Consider the following 23,394-nt stretch of genomic DNA (forward strand, 5'->3'; position numbering starts at 1 on the left):
AGTTGTTCTAGTAAATAATTAAACTCAAGAAGAGGGTCATGGGAAACCCCGATTTCTAACTGGTTGGTCAAAATACAGGTGACAACCTAGGACTTGCAACTGGCATCTGAAGTGAGGGTGGTCTTGTGGGACTGAGCCCCTAACCTGTGGGTTCTGTGCTAACTCTAGGTAGTGTCAGAATGGAATTGTGGGATACGCGGTTGGTATCCAGAGAGTTGGAGAACTGGTGTAGAAACTCTGCACACACATTTGGTCAGAAGTCTGTGAGTAGAGAGAAACGTGTTGCGGGAAGTCAGGGACCCCAAACGGAGGGACTGGCTGAAGCCATGGCAGAAGAACATAAATTGTGAAGATTTCATAGACATTTGTTAGTTCCCCAAATTAATACTTCTATAATTTCTTAGGCCTGTCTTTACTGCAATCTCTGAACATAAATTGTGAAGATTTCATGGACACTTATCACTTCCCCAATCAATACCCTTGTGATTTCCTATGCCTGTCTTTACTTTAATCTCTTAATCCGGTCACCTTCGTAAGCTGAGGATGATGTCCCCGCAGGACCCTGTGATAATTGCGTTAACTGCACAAGTTGTTTAAACAATATGAAACCTGGGCACCTTGAAAAAAGAACAGGATAACAGCAATTTCAGGGAACAAGGGAGATAACCTTAAACTCTGGCTGCCTGTGGGCCGGGTGGAACAGAGCCATATTTCTCTTCTTTCAAAAGCAAATAGGAGAAATATTGCTGAATTCTTTTTCTCAGCAAAGAACATCCCTGAGAAAGAGAATGCATCCCTAAGGGGAGGCCTCTGAAATGGCCGCTTTGGGGACAGCTGTCTTTTACAGTCGTAGATAAGGGACGAAATAAGCCCTGGGTTCGCGTGGCGCTCCCAGGCTTATCAGGACAAGGAAATTCCCGCCTAATAAATTTTGGTCAGATGGGTTGTCTGCTCTCAAACCCTTTCTCCTGATAAGATGTTATCAATGAAAATGCGTGCCCGAAACTTCATTAGCAATTTTAATTTCGCCCCGGTCCTGTGGTCTTGCCCTGCCTCCATTTGCCTTGTGATATTTTATTACCTTGTGAAGCATGTGATCTCTGTGACCCACACCCTATTCGTACACTCCCTCCCCTTTTGAAAATCACTAATAAAAACTTGTTGGTTTTGCAGCTTGGGGGGGCATCACGGAACCTGCTGACGTGTGATGTCTCCCCTGGACACCCAGCTTTAAAATTTCTCTCTTTTGTACTCTTTCCCTTTATTTCTCAGACCGGCTGACACTCAGGGAAAATAGAAAAGAACCTACATGAAATATCAGGGGTGAATTTCCCCCGATATCACACAGGCTCTTCTCTCACCTGTCTACCTGCTTAACTTAATAGGAGAGGCAATGCATGGTGCTCATGAACAAGGCAAGCATTAAAGTCAGACCAGACTAACATTTGACTCAGTCCTAATATTCAGGTGAGCTTGGGCAAATCGCTCATTAACCCCAAGTCTTCATCATTTTGTGCATATAATGGGGATAACTGTGGCACCCAACTGTTTTTGTGAGAATCAATGAAATATTATGCTTGATGTTATTGTGATCATGATACTATCTGACAAGGGTAGTGATGCATGATAACATCAAAAAATTAGAAACTGTAATGAGGTCTCTTGGGCAAAATTCCATACAAGCAAATTACTCTCTACAAAGCATTTCTGCCACACTTAATTCACCATTCCCTGAACAAAATGTGCCATCTTCATTGTTCAGGACTGTATAGTGCTGGTTTCCCTGCCTGGGCAGCTCACTCCATCCTATCCCAGCCCAATCCCCATCCCTCCACCTCCCCCTTCCCTCCCCACTCTCATACAACTCTTCCTTATCTTACAGGACTTGGCTTCAATGTCACCTTAACTGGAAGCTTCTCTCCCTCTCCAGAAGAGCTTCCGATTGCACTTGATGCATGCACTATTATTTGATCATTTTTGAGTTACAGTCCAAGTCTTTTTGTACCTGAATAACATGTTGCCCAGTCAGTTTCTCTTCCTGGATTCAGAAGTCTTTCATGGTAGGTCCAGCTAGAAGTGACAAAAAGACATTTAAAAAAAAAAAAAAAAAAAAGAGGGATGACACAGACAGACATCAGCACTTAAAAGTTTTAAACGATATGTGAAAAACAAAATTTAAGGGCTTCTAGGAGAAATGTAGGAGGGAAGGTGTTACTGGGAAATATGATAGAAGGTTAATTTTTATTTTATTTTTAGAGAAAGGGTCTTGCTCTATCGCCTAGGCTGGACTGCAGTGGTGCAATCACAGTTAACTGCAGCCTCAACCTCCAGGGCTTGAGCAATATTACCATCTAATTTTTATTTTGTTTAAGAAATGCAGTCTTGCTCTTAGCAAAGCTAAAGTGCAATGGTGTGATCATAGCTTACTGCAGCCTCAACCTTCTAGACTCAAGTGATCCTCCAGTCTTAGCCTCCCCAGTAGCTCGGACTACAGGTGTGCACTGCAACGTGTAGCTCATTTTTTTTTTTTAATTTTTAGTAGAGACAAAGTGTCACTATGTTGACCAGGTTGGTGGTGATCTCCTACACTCAGGCAGTTCTCTCACCTCAGCCTTGCAAAATGCTGGGATTACAGGTGTGAAGTGCCACACCTGGCTGAGGGGGTTAATTTTTAATTATATAAAGAGCTCAAAGCAAATATTAGAAGGAGCCTAAATGCCTCCAGCAGTTGACTGGTACTGGTAAATTGTGATACACCCATATAATAACATATTATGCAACCATGAAAAGTATTAAGATAGATCAATAGGTATTGGCACAAATGTCCACGAAATATGAAAATATGAAGTGATGTTCAATCACCATGTACGTATCTTGAAGGATATGGCCCATTTTCTCAACTGCAATTATTTCCTGAGATAAGATTATGGGTCTAAAGAGTGAAGGACATTTTTCACTTATTTAAAAGTATTTATTATTTTTATAATTTAATAAAAGATTAAACAGATCATTGAATTAGTAAAAGACAAAGTAACTCTATAAATAAATGGAAAAGACACAGATACCCCAGGCATGGTGGCTCATGCTTATAATACCAGTACTTTGGGAGGGGGTGGCGGGGGGATTGCTTGAGGCCAGGAGTTCCAGACCAGCCTAAGAAACAAAGCAAGACCTCCTCTCTAGTAAAAATAAAAAAATAAAAATAATTGGCCAGGCATAGTGGCATGTGCCTATAGTCCCAACTACTGAGGTGGAAGGATCACCTGAGCCTAGGAGGTCAAGGCTGCAGTGAGTTGAGACTGTGCCACTACACTGAAGCCTAGGAGACAGAGCGAGACTTCATCTCAAAAAAAAAAAAAAAAAAGGACAATAAAGAAATAAAGCTAATAAGCTAACATAAGGAAAGATAAAATATGTGACAAATAGGCTGGGCACATGGCTCACAGCTGTAATCAAGCACTTTGGGAGGCCAAGGCAGGTAGATCACGAGATCAGGAGTTCGAGACCAGCCTGATCAACATGGTGAAACCACGTTTCTACTAAAAATACAAAAATTAGCCAGGCATGGTGGCATGTGCCTGTAATCCCAGCTACTCAGGAGGCTGAGGCAGGAGAATCGCTTGAACCTGGGAGGCACAGGTTGCAGTGAGCCGAGATCACACCACTGCACTCCAGCCTGGTCGACAGAGTGAGACTGCGTCTCAAAAAAGAAAAAAGAATGGGTGACAAAGTAATAATATGAGGTCTTTCATTTATCACACAGAAAATAACTTGTTAAATTATAATACCTGTGTGGGCGAAGGTGCAGTGAAATGGCCATTTTCTTGTAGTATTAGTGGTGTTTAAAATGTATATAAGCCTTCCAGCATAAAGCTTGGAAATTTTTTTTAAATCATACAGACAGTGACTCATTATACTGCCTCCTCCAACTCCTGGCCTCAAGCAATCCTCCCACCTCAGCCTCCCAAAGTGCTGGAATTACAGGCTGACAGCCACCATGCCTGAAAGCTTTGTAATTTACATCAAGGGTAATAAGAATGCTCATGCTGTGTGACTCACAGTAATCTCACTTCTGGAAATTTCACCTTTCGATATAATTCAACCTAAACAAAAGGTCATATGCACAAACACAGTGAAAATCTGGGAGTAATTTTTTTCTCTTTTTTTAAAAAAATATGGAATGCTTCACAAATTTGCATGTCATTCTTTCACAGAGGCCATGCCAATCTCTCTATTGTTCCAACTTAAGTATGTGTGCTACTGAGGCAAGCATGAGTAATGTAAGATAGAGTGGTTAAGTGAAATAAGGAAGAATTATGGAGAATTTAAAAATCTATGCTATTTATAGGCACCTAGTAACAGCTCAGTAAATATTAGCTGCTACTATTATTATTTTTATGGTAATTTCACTCAATTAAAAACTGTCATTAAAAATTACCATTGTCATGGAACATAATGTCTCCTACTGTATAATTGTAAAAACAGATACAATTTGTCCCTTGGTATATGGGGGGATTAGTTCCAACTCTCCCATTTCTGTGTATACCAAAATCCACGCATACTCAAGTTTTCGAAGTCAGTCCTGTGGAATCCACATATAACACAAATGGGAAAATTAGTGAGGTGTGGTGACAAGCACCTGTAGTCCCAGCTACTTGTGAGGCTGAGGCAGGAGGATTGCTTGAGCCCAGGAGGTTGAGGCTGCAGTGAGCCATAATTGCACCACTGCACTCCAGTCTGGGCAACAGAGTGAGACAGAAGGTTGACTTTTTAATAGAATTTTTCTGTTCACTTGAAGATATGGTCAGGATTGTGGCATATGAAAATTCTTCATAAAATAACTATCTAATCCAATTAATGCTGGAATTGGGAACAGCAGAAGTGTCATCTCAGAGCTACTCACAATGAAAGGTGATGTCTGGTGCTCAGGTGTGTTGAGGTCCCCATGCCTGGACTATGGGTGCTGAGTGGGATTTACTTGTCCATCCATTTTCTATATTCCAGCACTGGGAAACTAGGGTTTATCCATCTTGATAAGATGTCATTTAAATTCCACTTCACAAGAACCACAAATGGAAGAAAGGCCATGAAACCGCAGGACAGTACTTGTTCTCAAGGGAATCTTCAGCTTAGGTGGCTCTGTAAAAGAGAAATTACATTGTTGAAAAATCGTCGCAGGTCAGGTGAGGTGGCTCATACCTATAATCCCAGCCCACTGGGAGACTAAGGCAGGAGGATTCCGTGAGGCCAGGAGTTCAAGACCAGCCTGAGCAACACAGTGAAACCTCATCTCTACAAAAAATTAGAAAATGAACTGGGTGCGGTAAAACATTCGTATAGTCCCAGCTACTCTGGAGGCTGAAATAGGAGGATCGCTTGAGCCCAGGAAGTGGAAGCTGCAGTGAGCTCTGATCTCACCACTGCACTCCAGCCTGGGTGACAGTGAGACCCTGTCTCAAGACACACACAAACACACACACACACACACACACACACACACACACACACACACCCACCCCCAATCTCAGTCTGTCCAGCCTTGACTAATCAAAAGGGCCTTCTGGTTACAGAAGAGGTATGCTCTTTTGTAGGACAGGGAGAGACCAGCAAGCTTGTTCACAGACTTTTCCTCATCCTCTGCTTAGTTTTCCAAGAACCCTCACAGTGGAAATGGAGTCTCTGGGAAAATGACCTAAATCTTTGGGTTACCAGGGGAGAAATATGCCTCCTTTGTCAATTAATAAATGGAACATCTGTCTTAAAATCCAGGGAGTTCTGCTAGAATGAATCACTCCCTAAGACCCTGACCAATGCATGGAACATGAAAAACTGAAGTTTAACTGGGCACGGTGGATCACGCCTGTAATCCCAGCACTTTGGGAGGCTGAGGCGGGCGGATCACCTGAGGTCAAAAGTTCTAGATCAGCCTGGCCAACATGGTGAAACCCCGTCTCTACTAAAAATACCAAAATTAGTTGGGCATGGTGGTGGACACCTGTAATCCCAGCTACTTGGGAGGCTGAGGCAGGAAAATCGCTTGAACCCGGAAGGCGGAGGTTGCAGTTACTTCTAGAAGAATTTCCATTAGCCCTTTGAAATCCTTCAACATTCATGAAGGCCAAAGAGTTTTCACCTAATTTAATCTGATGGGTATGTGACCAGAGTCTTTCTAGGGAATAGAGACTCCCAAACAGTTCAACTGGGAAGTGAGGAGAGAATTTATTACTCAAAATCAAAGGGAAATGAAAAGAGGCCAACATAGAATGTCATTATTCTTTCTTGGCGGGGAATGGATTCCAGAATCATTCTGTGACCTTTACATGACCTCCTTATTAGCATCTAAAAGCTTCCAGTGTAGGATGCAGCCAGCTAGGTTCTCTTCTAATGTAATAAAATTTGCTTCGGCAAATCTTATGCAGAGCCATCTCCAGGCTCCAGAAACAATAGGCTATAAATTACTGGATCTCCAATTTGATACAATGAAGTATGAGCACGGTCCTGAATGACTCCTCTACATACTACTCTGGGTGGCTTGAAGTGAATTTGATACAAGAACTGGAGCGAGCGCAAAGCAGAGCTAGATCTAGGATTAATGTGCTTGGGACCAGCTCCTCACTACTCACCTATGAGTCTAGTTCCAGAACCCAAGTAGAGGATGGGGGAACAAGGCTCCTGACTTTTTTTCCCTAATGTCTGCATCTCTTTCACATTTCTTATCTCCTTGCAAAGAAACTAAACAGGCTCAACTAACTAAATGATTAAACCCTATACAGAGAATCTCCAAAGACTGACAAAATATCATTCAAGACTGTTACACAGACAACCTTGAGGATGACTTGATGTACCAGTGATCTACAATATTTGGGATCATTCCAAATTCCCATCAAGGATCTCCCTATATCAACAAAGGAGCCAAGGACCAACCATTCAAATGGGCCCTGCTGCCAAGCCTTTTTTTTTTTTTTACAATGCCATCTCTTCATATTGTTCCATTTAACAAAACTGCAGCCCTTCATCTATCCTTAAGTCCCTTGGCCAATGGTACAGAGCCAGAGTATGCTACCCCCAGCAGGAAATCAACAGGATGACCTACTAAACACCATTCAGAAGATGCTAAGACCCATGAATTGCAACAGGAAAGAAAAGACAGAGAATTAGTCAGACAGGTACATGCTGTGCCAAAAATGCACTACAGCCCCCACCCAATTCTGCCTAATCCTAGCTGGGCTGACACCAACCTGATGAGACAGGCCTATAAGATCTCAAACTAAAACAGAAACTCCTGAACTGGGTTCTTTCGAGCCCAGGAAGCAGCAGTAAATCATTAAAGAACAGATAAGTTCTTAAGGTGAGGGAGAATTTCAGATAAATGGAATGCTGGTAGAACACAGGGCCCAAAGGAGCAAAAGTTAACCTAAGCCCAGGTAGAACCTTGTTTACTAGAGTATTAGGCATGGGTTTGGGCAACTATTCTAACCAGAGAAACTGGCTTCAGTGAGGGCAAGTTGGCAATCCAAGGTATAGCATGCATAGGGCTGGCAAAATTCAGGGTGACTGAAGCAAAAGCTTCAGAACCAGAAAGACCACATCTGGGGGTAGAGCACAGAACTCTCAAGAGATGAATCTTTTTAAGAGTGAGGCAGAACTATATAGCAGTTTTAGGAGATCTGTTGGTGCCCAGCAAAAGCTCCAAACGGGCTATATGCAGGGATGCAGGCTGTAGTCTCAGGAGAGGAGGTTCACAAAAGTCATTCAGTCCAAGACCTCAAACTGTGTTCTCTACTAAAAGGAATCAAGGTTCCCTAGAGAAATGGCTGACTCCATGTATGGTGCAGTATATTGATCCTGGAACATCTTTTTTGCCAGAAAGCAAGGAAGCCATCAAAGTCCAACAGGATCACGTCAAAAAGACATGAAAGTCAACTTGAAGAGATAATTATTAACCTAGATGAGACAATGTAAGCATCCAAAACAATAAAGACTGCAATGGCCTGAAATACATCAAATGCAAACAATAATCTATGAGTTCATAATGGTATTCAGAAGAAAAAACTACTGGTCATTAGAGGGAAGGTTACTAGGTCACTAACTTACTACTCTGAAAAGTGACTTAAGATGAGAGGTAGGGTGGAGAACTAGCTATTTATTCAGTCTTTCCTGTACAAACATAAATTTTTAGGGAGATTGAAGCAGACGAAACAAATCTGGAAAAATGGAGGTAACTGCTTAATCTGCAGGTTGGGTGCATGGAGGTTCAACATATTTCTTTTGTGTATATTTGAACCCCCTACAAAAAAAGCACAAGACAGAATGCGAGCCAAGCAGCTTAGGGTTTAGGCAAGGCTTCTGTCTACAAGAGACACTAGGATATGAGGGGTAGTTTTAGCCCTAATGGGCTGAGCCAACTGGAGGTATATAGGGAAGTGCTAAATTGCAGAGGTATCATGTTGCCCAGCACTTGATCAAATCCTAGATCCTAGGTCTGCTTGGTAGCATGCTTCCTAGGTAGTGGATCTGAGGCTACCTATAGAACTTCCTTTGCAGTCATAATTCGCTCAGAAACTACAAAAGTGCTTGCTCTTGAAAATGGAGTCTTTGTCCATTTCATGCTTCAATAAAAGAATACCACAGACTGCATAATTTATAAAAAGGAAAAAAGGAAGGAAAGAAAAAAGGAAGGAAGGAGGGAAGGAGGGAAAAAGGGAAGGAGGGAAGGAAAGGATGGGAAAGAAGGAAAGGAAGGAAGGGAAAGAGAGAAAGAGGGAAGGAGGAAGGGAGGGAAGGAGGAAGGGAGGGAAGGAGGGAGGGAGGGAAGGAGGGAGGGAGGGAAGGAGGGAGGGAGGGAGAGAGAGAGGGAGGGAGGGGAAGGGAAGAAAAGGGAGGAGAAGGGAAAGGAGGAAGAAAAGGAAAGGAAAGGAATAAATTTTATTTCTTAACAGTTCTGGATGTTAGGAAGTCCAAGGTTGAGGGGCCTGCATCTGGTAAGGGTCTTCTTGCCGCATCATCCCACTACAGAAGGCAGAAGGAAAAGAGAGTGCAAGAAGGCAAGAGGGCAAAAGGGGCTGAACTCTGTTTTATAATAAGCCCACTCTGTGATTACTAATCTATTACCACAATAACAACATTAACTCATTCATGAAGGCTATTTTATTAGGCCCCACATCCCAACTGTTGCATTGAGGATTGAGTTTCCAGCACATAAACTTTGGGGGACACATTTAAACCATAGCAGAGCACTTAGGTTAATTCAACTAAGAGGAGCTGGGAAAATCAAAGGCATGAGAAAGACAGCAAAAGCTAGCAGAGAGAAATGCATAGGTTAAGGAAAAAAGTCACAGTGAATCCTGTAGTGCAGGCTACTTTATCAAAAGCACCTAAAAAAGATCTCATTAACTCCCCCAGCTCACCTCCACCCACATCTAAAGAGCCACACACAGCACCACCAAAGGCAGCACAATGAGAACAGCATTCTCCTCAACAGACAAGCTGGGAGTATCTAGACACCTGACCTCAATAGCTCCAGAACAGCCCTAAAACATTTCCGCCCTAACCACCACTCAAGTCACCAGCTTGGAAAGTATTAAGAAAACCCAAATCCTGACACACCACTATGAAACAACTTAAAACAGCAAAGAACAACCCATTTAAACAGCAATGCCAGCTGTTGGGAAAAAAAGGAACAATGAGTAGAGGAGAAACAGACCTCTCGGGGTCCACCAAGACCCAGTCTCTCAGCTTCAGCACTTTTAAATGCAGAATCCATACCCCTCTGGGGCCTGTGGAGCTCCACAAGGCATGTCGTCCTCAAAGATAAATGAGCAGGCAAGCTGGCTAGAAAACCACTAAGGGTATTATTCTTTAAAGAATCTTTATAGGGTCAAAGAGGAATGGGTCTTAACTGGCTATGTGAACTCCCCACAGATTCTGAGGATGATGTCAGTATCCCTTTCCAGATGTGTTTAACACTTTGCAGTCACTTGTATTCCTGCCACTGAGTGCCAGTGCTTTGCTAATTTGAACTGATTCCAGCTCACGCTGACCCCAGCTCCCTGGATGTTACCATTAGCCAAGACTGTCACCCATACTGTACCCTTTCAAAGAGTCCTAAAAACAGCTCTTCACCTACTCTTCCAAGACAAGTAAAAATGTCTTCCAAAGAAATGGGGAAAAAAGATTCAGAGAGTGAAAACAATTAATATACTAACAAGAGAGCAAAAAGCAAAGGGGGAGGAGAAACTAGGAAAATCATAGATGGGCTCTCACCTATTTCCAAAGCTGGGCTAATGTCCTTTTGCTTGTGTCTGAATAAGGCACCAATTTTAAGCTGCTAATGAAAAAAAAAAAAAAAGAGAAAGAAGCAGGCCCAGGCTGGGCGCAGTGGCTCATGCCTGTAATCCCAGCACTTTGGGAGGCCGAGGCGGGTGGATCACCCAAGGTCAGGAGTTCTAGACCAGCCTGGTCAACATGGTGAAACACCATCTCTACTAAAAATACAAAAAATTAGCCAGGCATGGTGGCGCATGCCTGTAAATCTAGCTACTCAGGAGGCTGAGGCAGGAGAATTGCTTGAACCTGGAAGGCAGAGAATGTGGTGACCTGAGATCATGCCATTGCCCTCAAGCCACAGCAATGAGAACAAAATTCGGTAAAAACAAAACAAAACAAAACAAAACCACCATAAAATAACTCAGACTTAATTAAATACAACCCTAGTGGTGAATGACTAAAGATGGATTACTCATAACAGAGATAACAGTCCAATAAGAATCCAGGAATCTTACCTTTTAATAACAAAAAAATCCTTTCCTTCGAAAGTAACATCCTCTCAAGGCCAGGAATTCCATTAGTAGAAAGCCTTCCTAAAAAACAAAATTCCTGGCCAGGCATGGGTTCACGTCTGTAATCTCAGCACTCTGGGAGGCCGAGGCGGGAAGATCACTTGATGTCAGGAGTCGAGGCGGGAAGATCACTTGACATCAGGAGTTCGAGACTGGCCCGGCCAACATGGTGAAACCCCATCTCCACTAAAAATACAAAAATTAGCCTGGTGTGGTGGTGGGCACCTATAATCCCAGCGACTTGGGAGGCTAAGGCAGGAGAATTTCTTGAACCCAGGAGGCAGAGGTTGCAGTGACCAGCAAGGTTGCGCCATTGCACCCCAGCCTGGGCGATAAGAGTGAAAACTCCATCTCAAAAAAAAAAAAAAAAAAAAATTCCTTTGGGAAGGCCTTCTACATAAAAATCTTCAACATGAGACTGGAAAAAAGGGTATGGGATCATCACCAGACCTTTGGCTTTTACAGCTCGAGCTATAAGAACAAAAAGAAAAAGGGATATCATTTAAACGCAGTATATAGAAAAGAATAATTATTGAATCTGTACTGGTCTTTAACTTTTACATTTTGATCTTTAATTCTGTTATTGTGATTGAGTCCAAAGAAAAATAGTATGAGTAAAATAAAAAGAACACCAAAAATGCTAATATTCTGTTTACCAAAGTCTGTAGTGAAATATCCCATTAAATCCAAGTGCAGTGACACACCCATAATCCCAAGCACTTTGGGAGGCTGAGGCGGGTGAATCTCCTGAAGTCAGGAGTTCAAGGCCAGCCTGGCCAACATGGTGAAACCCCAACTCTACTACAAATACAAAAATTAGGCAGGCGTGGTGGCAGAGGCCTGTAATCCCAGCTACTTAGGAGGCTGAGGCAGGGAGAATTGCTTGAACCCAGGAGGTGAGCTTGCCATGAGCTGAGATCATACCACTGCACTCCAGCGTGGGTGACAGAACAAAATTTCAACCTCCAAAAAAAAAAAAAAAAAAAAAAAAACAGCTAGCAGGTGACATTTGCTATGGGGAGACTAGGGATATGATCTTGCTGCAATCCTTCCATTTTAGTAAATCTAAACAGTGTGAATCCATTCTGTTTCGTCCCAACTCCACTCCAGAGCCAAAACAAGAAAATCAATTATATTTCTAGTTCTTTAAAAACATATCTAACTAAATCATCTAATTAAAAGATAATATGCATGGTTCCATACTCTAAAAGAAAACTTATGTCCTGCATATCATGGACATTTGATGAATGCTTATTCAGTTGACTGGTGTAGACTTCAATAATAACCTGTTCAAATGCATTATGCCAGATGAATCTTGCATCTCAAAAGTAGAACAAATATTGTTCTTTCAGTTTTGTCTACCCATAAATGCAATATTTACTAATAAAAAGAAAATGAGTTTATTGTTCTAGAGAGTATGAGAATTTTGACAACATGAATTCTCCTGTCCTAGGACATAATTAATACTTAGAGGCATACTATTTCATGTGGAAGCTACCATTAAATCAATGTTAAGTGTTAATTACCTCACATAATCTTCTAATCTGACTTAAGACTGAAGACGTACCTCACAAAGTTGATTTATCAAGTTGTAAATCTTCACCTGTTGAATTCATAAGTTCATGTCTGAAAGGTGAGAATAAATACTTAATATTCACTAGGCAATATTCAGCAAAGTAATATCCACTAGTACATATTTAATATTTCATCATGAACTGTGGGTGTGAAGAGAAAAGACAGGCTGGGCACAGTGGCTCATACCTGTAATCCCAGCAGTTTGGGAGGCCGAGGCAGGCAGATCATGAGGTCAGGAGTTCAAGACCAGCCTGGCCAACATGGTAAAACCCCGTCTGTACTAAAAGTACAATAATTAGCTGGGCATGGTGGCAGGCACCTGTAATCCCAGCTACTCGGGAGGCTGAGGCAGGAGAATTGCCTGAACCCAGGAGGTGGAGGTTGCAGAAACCATTATCACGCCACTGCATTCCAGCCTGGGCAAGAGAGCAAGATTCTGTCTCAATCAATCAATCAATAAAAATATAAGGAGGAAGCATTTACTGTGTATTTATACGTCTGGTATTATGTGAAGCACTTTACTATCTTATCAAATCTTCGGGACAGATCTTCAGTTCTCATGACCACAAAAGAGGACAATAAAGCTCAGACAGGAGAAGAGACGTGGCCAGCCTGTGTCCCCAGGGCCTATGGTCTTACCACTAGGTTACAGTGTTTCCAGATATCACATGTTGTGAGATTTTTGCTTTAAAATGAACCAAAAAAAAAACAAAAGGTGAAAAAGGCATAAGCTATTAAAAAGTGGGAGAAACACTAAGAGAACCTTAAGCATGTAACTAAAAATATTATGGAAATGTTATTGAATTCATTAGCAAATTTAGTGCTAGGTTTTCATTGAGGAGTAGGTTATATTACTCATGATGAAGAAAAATGTTCATTTTAAGTATATTAACATAAATACCATCAATATTGTTTATCATGTCTAAATGTTCACTTAAAGCAATTCAGTTAAAATTCTGCATATCATACAATTTTATAGTTTGCTAGTAGGTTACAAGTAAACAGTCACCCAAATAAAAACATCATGTTTTCCACTGGTTGTTGCTCTTTTTTAGGTGAGTATTTGATGTATACCAACAGAGAGAGGATAATAACAAATCGCTAATTTCTTTCATCACTATATAAAGGTGGCTTCAGGATAGAATAGTATCAGGGCAATGATGAATTTGAAATCTAACATCAATTCAGTGATGCATCAAGATAAAAGTAGAGACAACAGGGGCACCTTGGTGTGTACTGAACATTTTACTTATTTATTTATTTTGAGATGGAGTTTTGCTCTTTTTGCCCAGGCTAGAGTGCAATGGTGCCAACCTCGCCTCACTGCAACCTCTGCCTCCTGGGTTCAAGCGATTCTCCTGCCTTGGCCTCCCGAATAGCTGCGATTACAGACATGCGCCACCACACCCGTCTAATTTTGTATTTTTAGTAGAGACAGGGTTTCTCCATGTTGGTCAGGCTGGTCTCGAACTCCCGACCTAGATATCTGCCTGCCTTGGCCTCCCAAAGTGCTGGGATTACAGGTGTGAGCCACCGCGCCCAGATGGATTCCAAATTTAACAAAGCAGACTAAGAGAAACAATTCATTTAAAAAAATAATATTTGGCCAGGCATGGCAGCTCACACCTGTAATCCCAGCACTTTGGGAGGCTGAGGTGAGTGGATCAGGAGGTCAGCAGTTCAAGACCAGCCTAGCCAAGATCATGAAACCCCGTCTCTACTAAAAATACAAGGGCTGGTGCCTGTAATCCTAGCTGCTCGGGAGGCTGAGGCAGAGAACTGCTTGAACCCGGGAGGCGGAGGTTGCAGTGAGCCGAGATCGTGCCACTGCACTCCAGCCTGGGCAACAGAGTGAGGCTCCGTCTCAAAAAAAATAAATAAATAATTCAGTGAAATTCCTAAGATCCAGGGCTTTGCAATAAATACGTAAATAAATTTCCAATCTCCATACTGAAAGTTTAGAAGAAATGCTAACTAAAGAAATACAACTTTTCCTCAGCTTTGCAGCAATCTAGAAACAAAGTGTGTAGACACTACAAAGCACCTTACAAGGAGAAACGTGTAAGGATGGCATGACTCACCGGCAGCCCTGGGCTTGTCCACGGTACCCCCATGATGAACAGTAACTCCATTGTGTAAACGCCCATGAACATAAGATTACAGGACTTTTCCAGTTTAGACATACCATATTTTCTTTCAGACAATTCTTCAGTTTGTTTACGTAGATCAGCGATACGATGATTCCATTTCTCTGAAAATCAAGCAAAAGTTGCTTCTCAATAATACGTCCCTATGTCAGAGCAGCACTAACGTATAATGACTGATTTCATATATTTTACATTCTAACAGTCCATATCATTTTACTGCTTTCAAGAAAAAATTTCCCCTTTTTGGTGGTTCTTAGAATTGGTTTAATGGGAGACTATTAGAGAAGCTGAAAAGCAGGAGGGCAGAAAAGTTCAATCAAATTAAACACAATAAAAGGGAGGTCACAATGAGGCGGTCTCCAGGGGTCTTTTAGCAAACTTCCTGAAACATGTCTCAGCTGTGTGAAATAAGACTTTACAGCAGCCGGGTGCAGTGGTGCAGGCCTGTAATCCCAGCACTTTGGCAGCAGAGGCAGGCGGATCGCTTTGAGCTCAGGGCAACATAGCCAAAACCCCCCTCCCTAGCCCCACCCCCACCCCCTCCCTACCAAAAATACAAAACAGCAGGGCATGGTGGCGGGCGCCTGTAGTCCCAGCTACTCAGGAGGCTGAGGCAGGAGAATCACCTGAACCCAGGAGGCAGACATTGCAGTGAGCCAAGATCACGCCACTGCCAGCCTGGATGACAGAGCAAGACTCCACCTCAAAAAAACAAAAACAAAAACACAAACCTCAGAGCACCCCCAGGTATTCCAACCTAATCCTGGTGCCCCGCCTCTCACCACCCTTCTTCCTGTTTAACCTCAACCCCTACACAAAGCCTGGGCCACTTAATGTGGCATCAAACAGATGCCTCAATAAATCAGTCTAATCTTGAAAAAAAAAAAAGACTTAACAGATATACAATTGCACGTTAGAATGCTAAAGACCATAAACATAGAACAACTTAAAGTACATATAAATTCAATATATATCCAATCGTTGTAACTATGACACAGTAGAATATTAAAATACTATTTTCAAAACGTATACAAGCTTAATGTTCTATGTATTCAAACTATTTATTCAAAATACAAATCATCAACATAAATTGCCACTAATATTCAGTCCCTTCACAGGACACATGATTCACTGGGAGTTAATAAATTAGCAGCCGGCAGGCAGTGACACACAGCAAAAATGAAAACCAAAAGGTGAAATAGTTCTGAAATAAAGGTTTTAAAGCTAACAGAAATCACTGAATTACTAAGTCATTAGCACTAATTTTGAGCCAACTGACTAATTAATATGAGATGATACAATGTCCTATACTTTGGTAAATACAGACTATGTTTAAACAATGTCTGTAACGTGACTTGTAAAATGCTCCTGGCTTTACAAAGATGTGATTAAGATGTAGTAACACATGCTAAACCATTTCCCCCTGCAGAGCATGTGGTAACTTTCATCAGTCACATTGAGAGTCCAGAAGATAAAGGAAAAGGTCATGGATTTCGCTGAGAACTTACCAGAGTTGAACTCCCTCATTTTCCGTTCCCCAGCATTGGCGGGTTCTGGGACTGGTGGCTGTGGTGGCTCGTTGGTCTTTGTCTCTTAGAAGGTGGGGAATAATCATCATCTTGAAAAAGAAAAAATGGTCATTACTGAAGGAACCATCTTAGGTTACAGCCACCTCTGGGTCAATTCCCAACATTCAAAAGCTGAGCAGGGCTTTAAAGCTATCTTATTAATAATTATTTCTGTATTGCGAACTTCAGCATACTTTTTTCTAGTTACATTTGAAATGTTATTCTTTTGGGATGTGCTCAAGTGAATACTGCTTTTTCCTCTGCCTTGCTTCATTACTTTTTAGTTTCCTTCATTTGAATCATCATTGTAAGTCTCCCCTTCTCCTCAAATAACTTTCAAATTGCTGCCAAGAACTATGTTCTATCTTAAGGCTTTTGAGAAAAAACTTTCAATGAAGATAGCCTCCTAAAGTTATACAAATATAGAAGAAACGGGATAAAATAAAGCTTAGATTGGAAAAAATATTTAAGATTATACAAAATTCACGCGTAAACAAGGGAAGCTGAGTAATTGTATGTTCAAATACTTTTAACAAGTGCAAAACATGTAGGCTTAAAGAAATAGAGCTGGCCAGGCATGGTGGTTCACGCCTGTAATTCCAACAGTTTGGGAGGCCGAGGCAGGCAGATAACTTGAGGTCAGGAATTCGAGACCAGCCTGGCCAACAGAGTGAAACCCTCTCTCTACTAAAAATACAAAAATTAGGCCAGGAGTGATGGCTCATGCCTGTGATCCCAGCACTTTGAGAGGCCGAGGCGGGTAGATCACCTGAGGTCAGGAGTTTGAGACCAGCCTAACCAACATAGAGAAACCCCGTCTCTACTAAAACTACAACATTAGCCGGGTGTGGTGGCACATGCCTGTAATCCCAGCTACTCGGGAGGCTGAGGCAGGAGAATCCCTTGAACCCGAAAGGCAAAGATTGTGGTGAGCCGAGATTGTGCCACTGCACTCCAGCCTGGGCAAAAACAGCGAAACTCCGTCTCAAAAAAAAAAAAAAGAAAAAATTAGCCAGGCGTGGTGGCGCATGCCTGTAATCCCAGCTACTTGGGAGGCTGAGGCAGGAGAATCGCTTGAACCCAGGAGGCTGAAGTTGCGGTGAGCTGAGACTGCACCATTGCACTCCAGCCTGGGTAGTAGAGCAAGACCCTGTCTCAAAAAAAAAAAAAAAAAAAAAAAAAAAGAGAGAGAGAGAGAAAGAAAGAGGGCTACATTATTTATGAAACAGATACTGTTAACTCAGTCACCAGAAAGCCTGTGTATAAATGAGCAGTGAGATATTCAAGCACAGCACACACACACTTATTAGGACAGCTGTCGTGAGAGTTCCATGCTCGTTTCCTTCTGGATACATCAGCAACTCACTCTGCTATGATCCTGCAAAACATCTCATGTTAGAATTAGAGACATCTGGGCCAGGCACAGTGGCTGACGCCTGTAATCCTAACACTTTGGGAAGCCGAGGCAGGCAGATCACCTAAGGTCAGGAGTTCGAGACCAGCCTGGCCAACATGGTGAAACGCTGTCTCTACCAAAAATACAAAAAATTAGCTGGGCATGGTGGCGCGCGCCTGTAATCCCAGCTACTCGGGAGCCTGAGGCAGGAGAATCACTTGAACCCGGGAGGTGGAGGTTGCAGTGAGCCGAGATCGTGCCACTGCACTCCAGCATGGGGGACGGAGCAAGGCTCTGTCAAAAAAAAAAAAAAAAAAAAAAAAAACAGAAAAAGAAAAAGAAAAAAGAATTAGAGACATCCGGATCAAATCAGCTGCCAGTCTCGCAAAGTGTCGGGTAACATCCTATTAAGATTGCTGCTTACACATCATCTATAAAATACTGAAAATATCATTTTAAGAAATCTTTTTTTTATGTTGAGACAGAGTTTTGCTCATTGCCCAGGCTGGAGTGCAATGGTGCGATCTCAGCTCACTGCAACCTCTGCCCCCTGGGTTCAAGCAATTCTCCTTCCTCAGCCTCCTGAGTAGCTGGGATTACAGGCATGCACCACCACGCCTGGCTAATTTTGTATTTTCAGTTGAGACAGGGTTTCTCCATATTGGTCAGGCTGGTCTCGAACTCCTGACCTCAGGTGATCCACTGACCTTGGCCTCCCAAAGTGCTGGGATTACAGGTATGAGCCACCATGCCTAGCCAAGAAACCCTTATTTTAAAACAAGCCAGGCGCGGTGGCTCATGCCTATAATCCCAGCACTTTGGGAAGCCAAGGCGGGTGGATCACTTGACGTCAGTAGTTTGAGACCAGCCTGGGCATCATGTTGTAACCCCATCTCTACTAAAAATATATTTAAAAAATTAGCTGGGCATGGTGGTGGGCACCTGTAATTCCAGCTTCTCAGGAGGCTGAGGCAGGAGAACCACTTGAACCTGGGAAGTGGAGGTTGCAGTGAGCGGAGATCACGCCACTGCACTCTAGCCTGGGTGACAATAGAAAGACTCCATCTCAAAAACAAAACAAAACAAAAAACCACTAAAAAAGACTCCATTTCAAAAACAAAACTAAAACCAAAAACACAACACAAATGTAGTACACAAATGAAAATAATTACTGTGTTAAACACAGTTTCATAGAAAATAAAAGACCAATCAAATACAATAAGCTGCCTTTTTAGATGGGTATGTTATTCTTCTTTCACAGCTAAAGAAACGGGCTCAGAGAATGTTATTTGATTGGACTGTGTTGCATTTCTGGACAGTGCAGCTGAGATCACACTTTGTGTGTAACTCCACTAGCCTACCAGGGTGCCTCTCATAAAGGTAAGAAATGTAAATTTGGCCTAATATACAAAGTTGCCAGGGCAGCACTGGGTCAATTCTACATACAGTACTTCTATGTTCATCAAGGGAAACCTTAAGGGAAAGTGAAAATGCTCCTAGAAGGCGACTGGACACGAGCGCCTTTGCTTGTTGCCTTTAGGCTCTTCTTCTAAGGCCAACAGTGACCTGAAATTATTGACTGGCTTTTCCAATCAAGTGGACAAAATGGTACCAAGGTCGCCAACATCAGACAAATTCACTTGAGGGCCTTATCTATGTGCTTTGAAAGACAAAACTGCTTTTGTAAAGGACACTGTATTTCAGAAAAACATAATCATATTAACAAATAATAACACTGTAAAATGCTGATGTGTTGAATGCTACTTTAGAAAAACATGCTCAAATCCAGGGAAAAAATTTGATACAAAACTACGTATCAATTATCTAGCTAGCTAGCTATCTAGAGACCTGCTTTCATTCTATTGCTCAGGATGGGAAGCAGTGGGATTATCATAGCTCACTGCAGCCTTGAGCTCCTGGCCTCAAGTGATCCTCCTGCCTCAGCCTCCTAACTAGCTAGAGCCACAGGTGGACACATTATGCCTGGGTTTTTGTTTGTTTGTTTTGTAGAGACAGGGTGTCACTACATTGCCAGGCTGGTGTCAAACTTTGGAGTCTCGCTGTGTCGCCCAGGCTGGGGTGCAGTGGTGCGATCTTGGCCCAATGCAACCTCCGCCTCCCGGGTTCAAGTAATTCTCCTTTATCAGCCTCCCAAGTAGCTGGGACTACAGGCATGCGCCACCATGGCCGGCTGATTTTTGTATTTTTTGTAGAGACTGGGTTTCACCATGGCCAGGCTGGTCTCCAACTCCTGACCTCAGGTGATACACCCGCCTTGGCCTCCCAAAGTGTTGGGATTACAGGTGTCAGCCACTGAGCCTGGCGGAGCACTTTCTTATGTTATTAAGTAGCCTAACCCAGGTGGGGCGCTGTCCCTCACGCCTGTAATCCCGACAACTCTGATGGCCAAGGTGAGAAGATCGCTTCAACTCAGGAGTTTGAAACTGGCCCGGGCAACATAGCGAGGCCCCCCCCCCGACCCCATCTCTAGAAAAAAATACAAAAATTAGGCCAGGTGCCCACCGCGCCCGGCTAATTTTTGTATCTTTTGTAGAGACGGGGTTTCGTCATGTTGCCCAGGCTGGTCTCGACTCCTGAGCCCAAGCCATCCATCCTCCCGCCTCGGCCTCCCAAAGTGCTGGGATTACAGTAGGGCCCAGCCAGCCTCATGTTTTATTTAGCAGTCCCTCCCTGTTGCACACCTGGATAGTTTTTTTAATTTTTTTAGACAGGGTTTACCTCAATCTCGCAGGCTGGAATGCTGTGGTGGGATCATAGCTCACTGGAGCCTTGAACCTTTGGGTTCAAGTAGCTGGGGGGCTGAGGTAGGACTACAGAGATGGGGTTGCGCCATGTTGCTACGCTGCTCTTGGCCTGAAGGGTCCTCCCGCCTCGGCCGCGCCAGACATAGTTTTCTATTTTTGACCAACATAAACACTGTGCTGGGTCTGAATTTTTCAGCTACCCTTCTTCAGCCGGCAACACACAGGACCTGGCGGGGAGGTCGCTCTTACCAGTCCCCACTCTGACGAGAAAACTGCCCAGCTCCAGGCACCATAGCGCCCCAGTGACGCAGCCGAACACCCGCGCCTCTGACGTCGCCAAAGGCCCACCTCTATGGTGTCGGCGAAGACCCGCCCTTGTGACGTCACGGAAGGCGCGCTCTTGTGACGTCGCAGGGAACTACCACTCACGCAGAGCCAATCGGAACTCGCGGTGGGGCTGCTGGTTCTTCCAGGAGCGCGCATGAGCGGACGCTGCCTACGGGTGGCCGGGCGGGATGTAACCGGCTGCTGAGCTGGCAGTTCTGTGTCGCTAGGCTTCTGCCCGGCCGCCGCCGCACATAAGCTGCGAGGAGGAGCTTTACGACTTCCCGGTCTTCGGGGCCGGGCGCAGCAAGGGCCAGACTCTGCGCTAGCAGGCGCTGCGCGCCAACCGGCCGGCACCTGTCGCAGAAGGTGCAACCGATCGCACTGTCGCGCAGAAGCTCCTCAATGGCCAGCGCCAGCTGCAGCCCCGGCCGCCCACTCGCCTCATCTGAGCCTGGGTACGTGCGCCCCACAACGCCTCCCCCAGCCAGGGCCCGGGGATCCCCGGGAGCGTCCCCGGCTACCTGGCGCCGCTCATCCTGGGTAGGGTCGGCCCCCTCTGAGGCTGCCTGGCATGAGGGAGCTGCACCCCTGAGCTTGACCTCTGACGGCCCTTTGTAATAGCATTAAGTCTTTGAAACTTTGTAGCGGGGTAGAAGGGGCTAGGAAATGAAGAAAACATCTTTTTAAAAATATAAGCAGTCGGCTGGGCGAGGTGGCCCACGCCTGTAATCCCAGCACTTTGGGAGGTCGAGGCAGGTGGATCACGAGGACAGGAGTTCAAAACCAGCCTGGCCAGCATGGTTTCACTGAAACCCCGTCTCTACTAAAAACACAAAAATTAGTCGGGCGTGGTGGCTGGTGCCTGTAATCCCAGCTACCCGGGAGGCTGAGGCAGAGAATTGTTTGAACCCGGGATGCGGAGGTTGCAGTGAGCGGAGATCGCGCCACTGCACTCCAGCCTGGGCAACAGACCAAGACTCCGTCTAAACAAACAAATATATGTGTGTATATATATGCGATCGAGCCCGGGAGGTTGAGATTACAGTGAGCTGAGATTATATAAGCGATCGAGCACTGGAGGTTGATGTTACAGTGAGCTGAGATTGCGCCATTGCACTCCAGCCTGTGTAACAGAGGGAGACTCTGTCTCTAAAAAATTATATGCAAGTGAGAGCTTTTCTTCCAGCGCTCATGCTCAGACTGAAGAAAGTAATTGGGCCAGGCCCGGTGGCTCACGCCCGTAATCCCAGCATTTTGGGAGGCGGAGGCGGAAGCGGGTGGATCACTTGAGCTCAGGAATTCCAGACTAGTTTGGGCAACATGGTGGAAGCCTGTCTCTACAAAAATACAAAAAATTAGCTGGGCATGGTGGCACGCACTTGTAGTCTCCGCTACTTGCCGGGCTTAGGCGGGAGAATCGCTCAGCTGCAGCCTCGACCTCCAGGGGCAATCCATTTCAGCCTCCCAAAGTGCTGAGATTACAGGAATGAGCCATCGTGCCTGGCTTTACACTATATTTTAATACTTTTTTTGAAAATGGAAACTTTTACAGGCAATTCACTTCCTTCAAACTAATGATAAGGAAGTGATGCTGTTCTGTTCTGTTTTGTTTTTTGTTTTTGTGGGTTTTTTTTCTTTTTTGAGATGGGGTCTTGCCCAGGTTGGAGTGAGTTGGTGCAAACAAGGCTCACTGCAGCCTTGACCTTCGGGCTCAAGGAATCCTTCCCTGTCAGCCTCCCCGGTAGCTAGGACTACAGGTGCATGCTACCACGCTTGGCTAATTCTTTTTTTGAAATGGAGTCTCACTCTGTCTCCCAGGCTGGAGTGCAGTGGTGCAATCTCGGCTCACTGCAGGCTGGTCTCAACCTCTGACTTCGGCTGGTCCACCCACTTCTGCATCCCAAAGTGCTGGGATTACAAGTGTGACCCACCGCGCCTGGCGATTTTGCTCATTTTAGATACTAGAACTTTTTAATTTAAATTTTTTTTTTCCTGAGATGGAGTCTTACTTTGTCTCCAGGCTGGAGTGTAGTGGCGTAATCTCGGCTCACTGCAACCTCCGCCTCCTGAGTTCAAGCGATTCTCCTGCCTCAGCCTGCCAGAGTTGCTGGGACTACAGGTGCGCACCACCACACCCAGGAGTTCAAGGCTGCAGTGAGCCATGATCGTACCACTGCACTCCAGCCTGGGCAACACAGCGAGACCCTGACTCCACAAATAAATAAATCAACATCATATGATCTGTACCAGGGTATAGGCAGGTGCTATGATCCCCACTTTTCATCCTCAACTCTAAGTTGAGTCATACATCAACCTCTAGTAAAAAGTGGCATGCTCTCAGTCAAAGGGGTAAGCCCAAACCACGCGGAGAGAATCTTATCTCTTTTGAGAGCTAATATAAAAAGAATTCCTCCTAGGCATAAAAATATTGTGACACCAGTTACTTAGGCTAAACATGCCTATTATGCTAAGTGAGTTATTAACAATAAATACTTTAACTCTGTGCCATGTTAATTATCATAATCTGATTTATAATTTGTTTTAACCTTAGGTTATATATACCTTGAAGCCATTTATATTTTGGTATACTTGTAATAATTACTATACACCGGACTATGTATATTGGACTAAACACGGAGAGTCAAAAAAGAGTATGTGGTCAGAGTAGAAATCATGCCCTAGCTTCCTTCGTGTCTACCTCCTACCTTGAGTAGAAGTGGTAGAAAAAGTAATTACCTAAGATTTTTTGGATTCTGGTTTGTGGAGAAGCACCCTTAT

General features: G+C 43.9%; 3 pseudogenes across 5 annotated transcripts in view, besides 6 other annotated features; 1 reads left to right on the top strand and 2 right to left on the bottom strand.

The window, feature by feature from the left end:
- The window catches only part of GTF2IP20 (general transcription factor IIi pseudogene 20), a 41,379-nt pseudogene extending 20,711 nt beyond the window's left edge, over positions 1-20,668 (bottom strand). The window contains exons 1-6 of the transcript NR_132119.1: positions 20,264-20,668; positions 16,069-16,178; positions 14,599-14,664; positions 12,406-12,464; positions 10,782-11,309; positions 4,904-5,139 (exon numbers count right to left, since the gene is read on the bottom strand). The product of NR_132119.1 is annotated as a general transcription factor IIi pseudogene 20 (transcript). The remainder of the gene's footprint in view (positions 1-4,903; positions 5,140-10,781; positions 11,310-12,405; positions 12,465-14,598; positions 14,665-16,068; positions 16,179-20,263) is intronic.
- RNU6-1319P (RNA, U6 small nuclear 1319, pseudogene) lies at positions 4,170-4,273 on the bottom strand (annotated as a pseudogene).
- Positions 20,429-21,052: an enhancer, noted in NCBI's record as "NANOG-H3K27ac-H3K4me1 hESC enhancer chr1:224180107-224180730 (GRCh37/hg19 assembly coordinates)". NCBI's record gives its function as "activates a minimal SCP1, AML or CMV promoter by ChIP-STARR-seq in primed H9 embryonic stem cells {active_cell/tissue: H9 hESC(primed)}" and the evidence as "EXISTENCE:reporter gene assay evidence [ECO:0000049][PMID:30033119]".
- Positions 20,516-20,565: an enhancer, noted in NCBI's record as "active region_2592". NCBI's record gives its function as "activates an Ori minimal core promoter by ATAC-STARR-seq in GM12878 lymphoblastoid cells {active_cell/tissue: GM12878}" and the evidence as "EXISTENCE:reporter gene assay evidence [ECO:0000049][PMID:35858748]".
- Positions 20,686-20,825: a silencer, noted in NCBI's record as "silent region_1845". NCBI's record gives its function as "represses an Ori minimal core promoter by ATAC-STARR-seq in GM12878 lymphoblastoid cells {active_cell/tissue: GM12878}" and the evidence as "EXISTENCE:reporter gene assay evidence [ECO:0000049][PMID:35858748]".
- Positions 20,754-23,394, top strand: part of SEPTIN7P13 (septin 7 pseudogene 13) — a 41,130-nt pseudogene continuing 38,489 nt past the window's right edge. For all 4 annotated transcript variants that reach the window (NR_136593.1, NR_136592.1, NR_136590.1 and 1 more), the window contains 1 exon segment: positions 20,754-21,071. The product of NR_136593.1 is annotated as a septin 7 pseudogene 13, transcript variant 4 (transcript).
- Positions 21,046-21,225: a silencer, noted in NCBI's record as "silent region_1846". NCBI's record gives its function as "represses an Ori minimal core promoter by ATAC-STARR-seq in GM12878 lymphoblastoid cells {active_cell/tissue: GM12878}" and the evidence as "EXISTENCE:reporter gene assay evidence [ECO:0000049][PMID:35858748]".
- Positions 21,046-21,674: a biological region, named in NCBI's record as "NANOG-H3K27ac-H3K4me1 hESC enhancer GRCh37_chr1:224180731-224181352".
- Positions 21,053-21,674: an enhancer, noted in NCBI's record as "NANOG-H3K27ac-H3K4me1 hESC enhancer chr1:224180731-224181352 (GRCh37/hg19 assembly coordinates)". NCBI's record gives its function as "activates a minimal SCP1, AML or CMV promoter by ChIP-STARR-seq in primed H9 embryonic stem cells {active_cell/tissue: H9 hESC(primed)}" and the evidence as "EXISTENCE:reporter gene assay evidence [ECO:0000049][PMID:30033119]".

This window comes from Homo sapiens, chromosome 1 (genome assembly GCF_000001405.40).
Source record: "Homo sapiens chromosome 1, GRCh38.p14 Primary Assembly".
NCBI classification, from domain to species: Eukaryota; Metazoa; Chordata; class Mammalia; order Primates; family Hominidae; genus Homo; species Homo sapiens.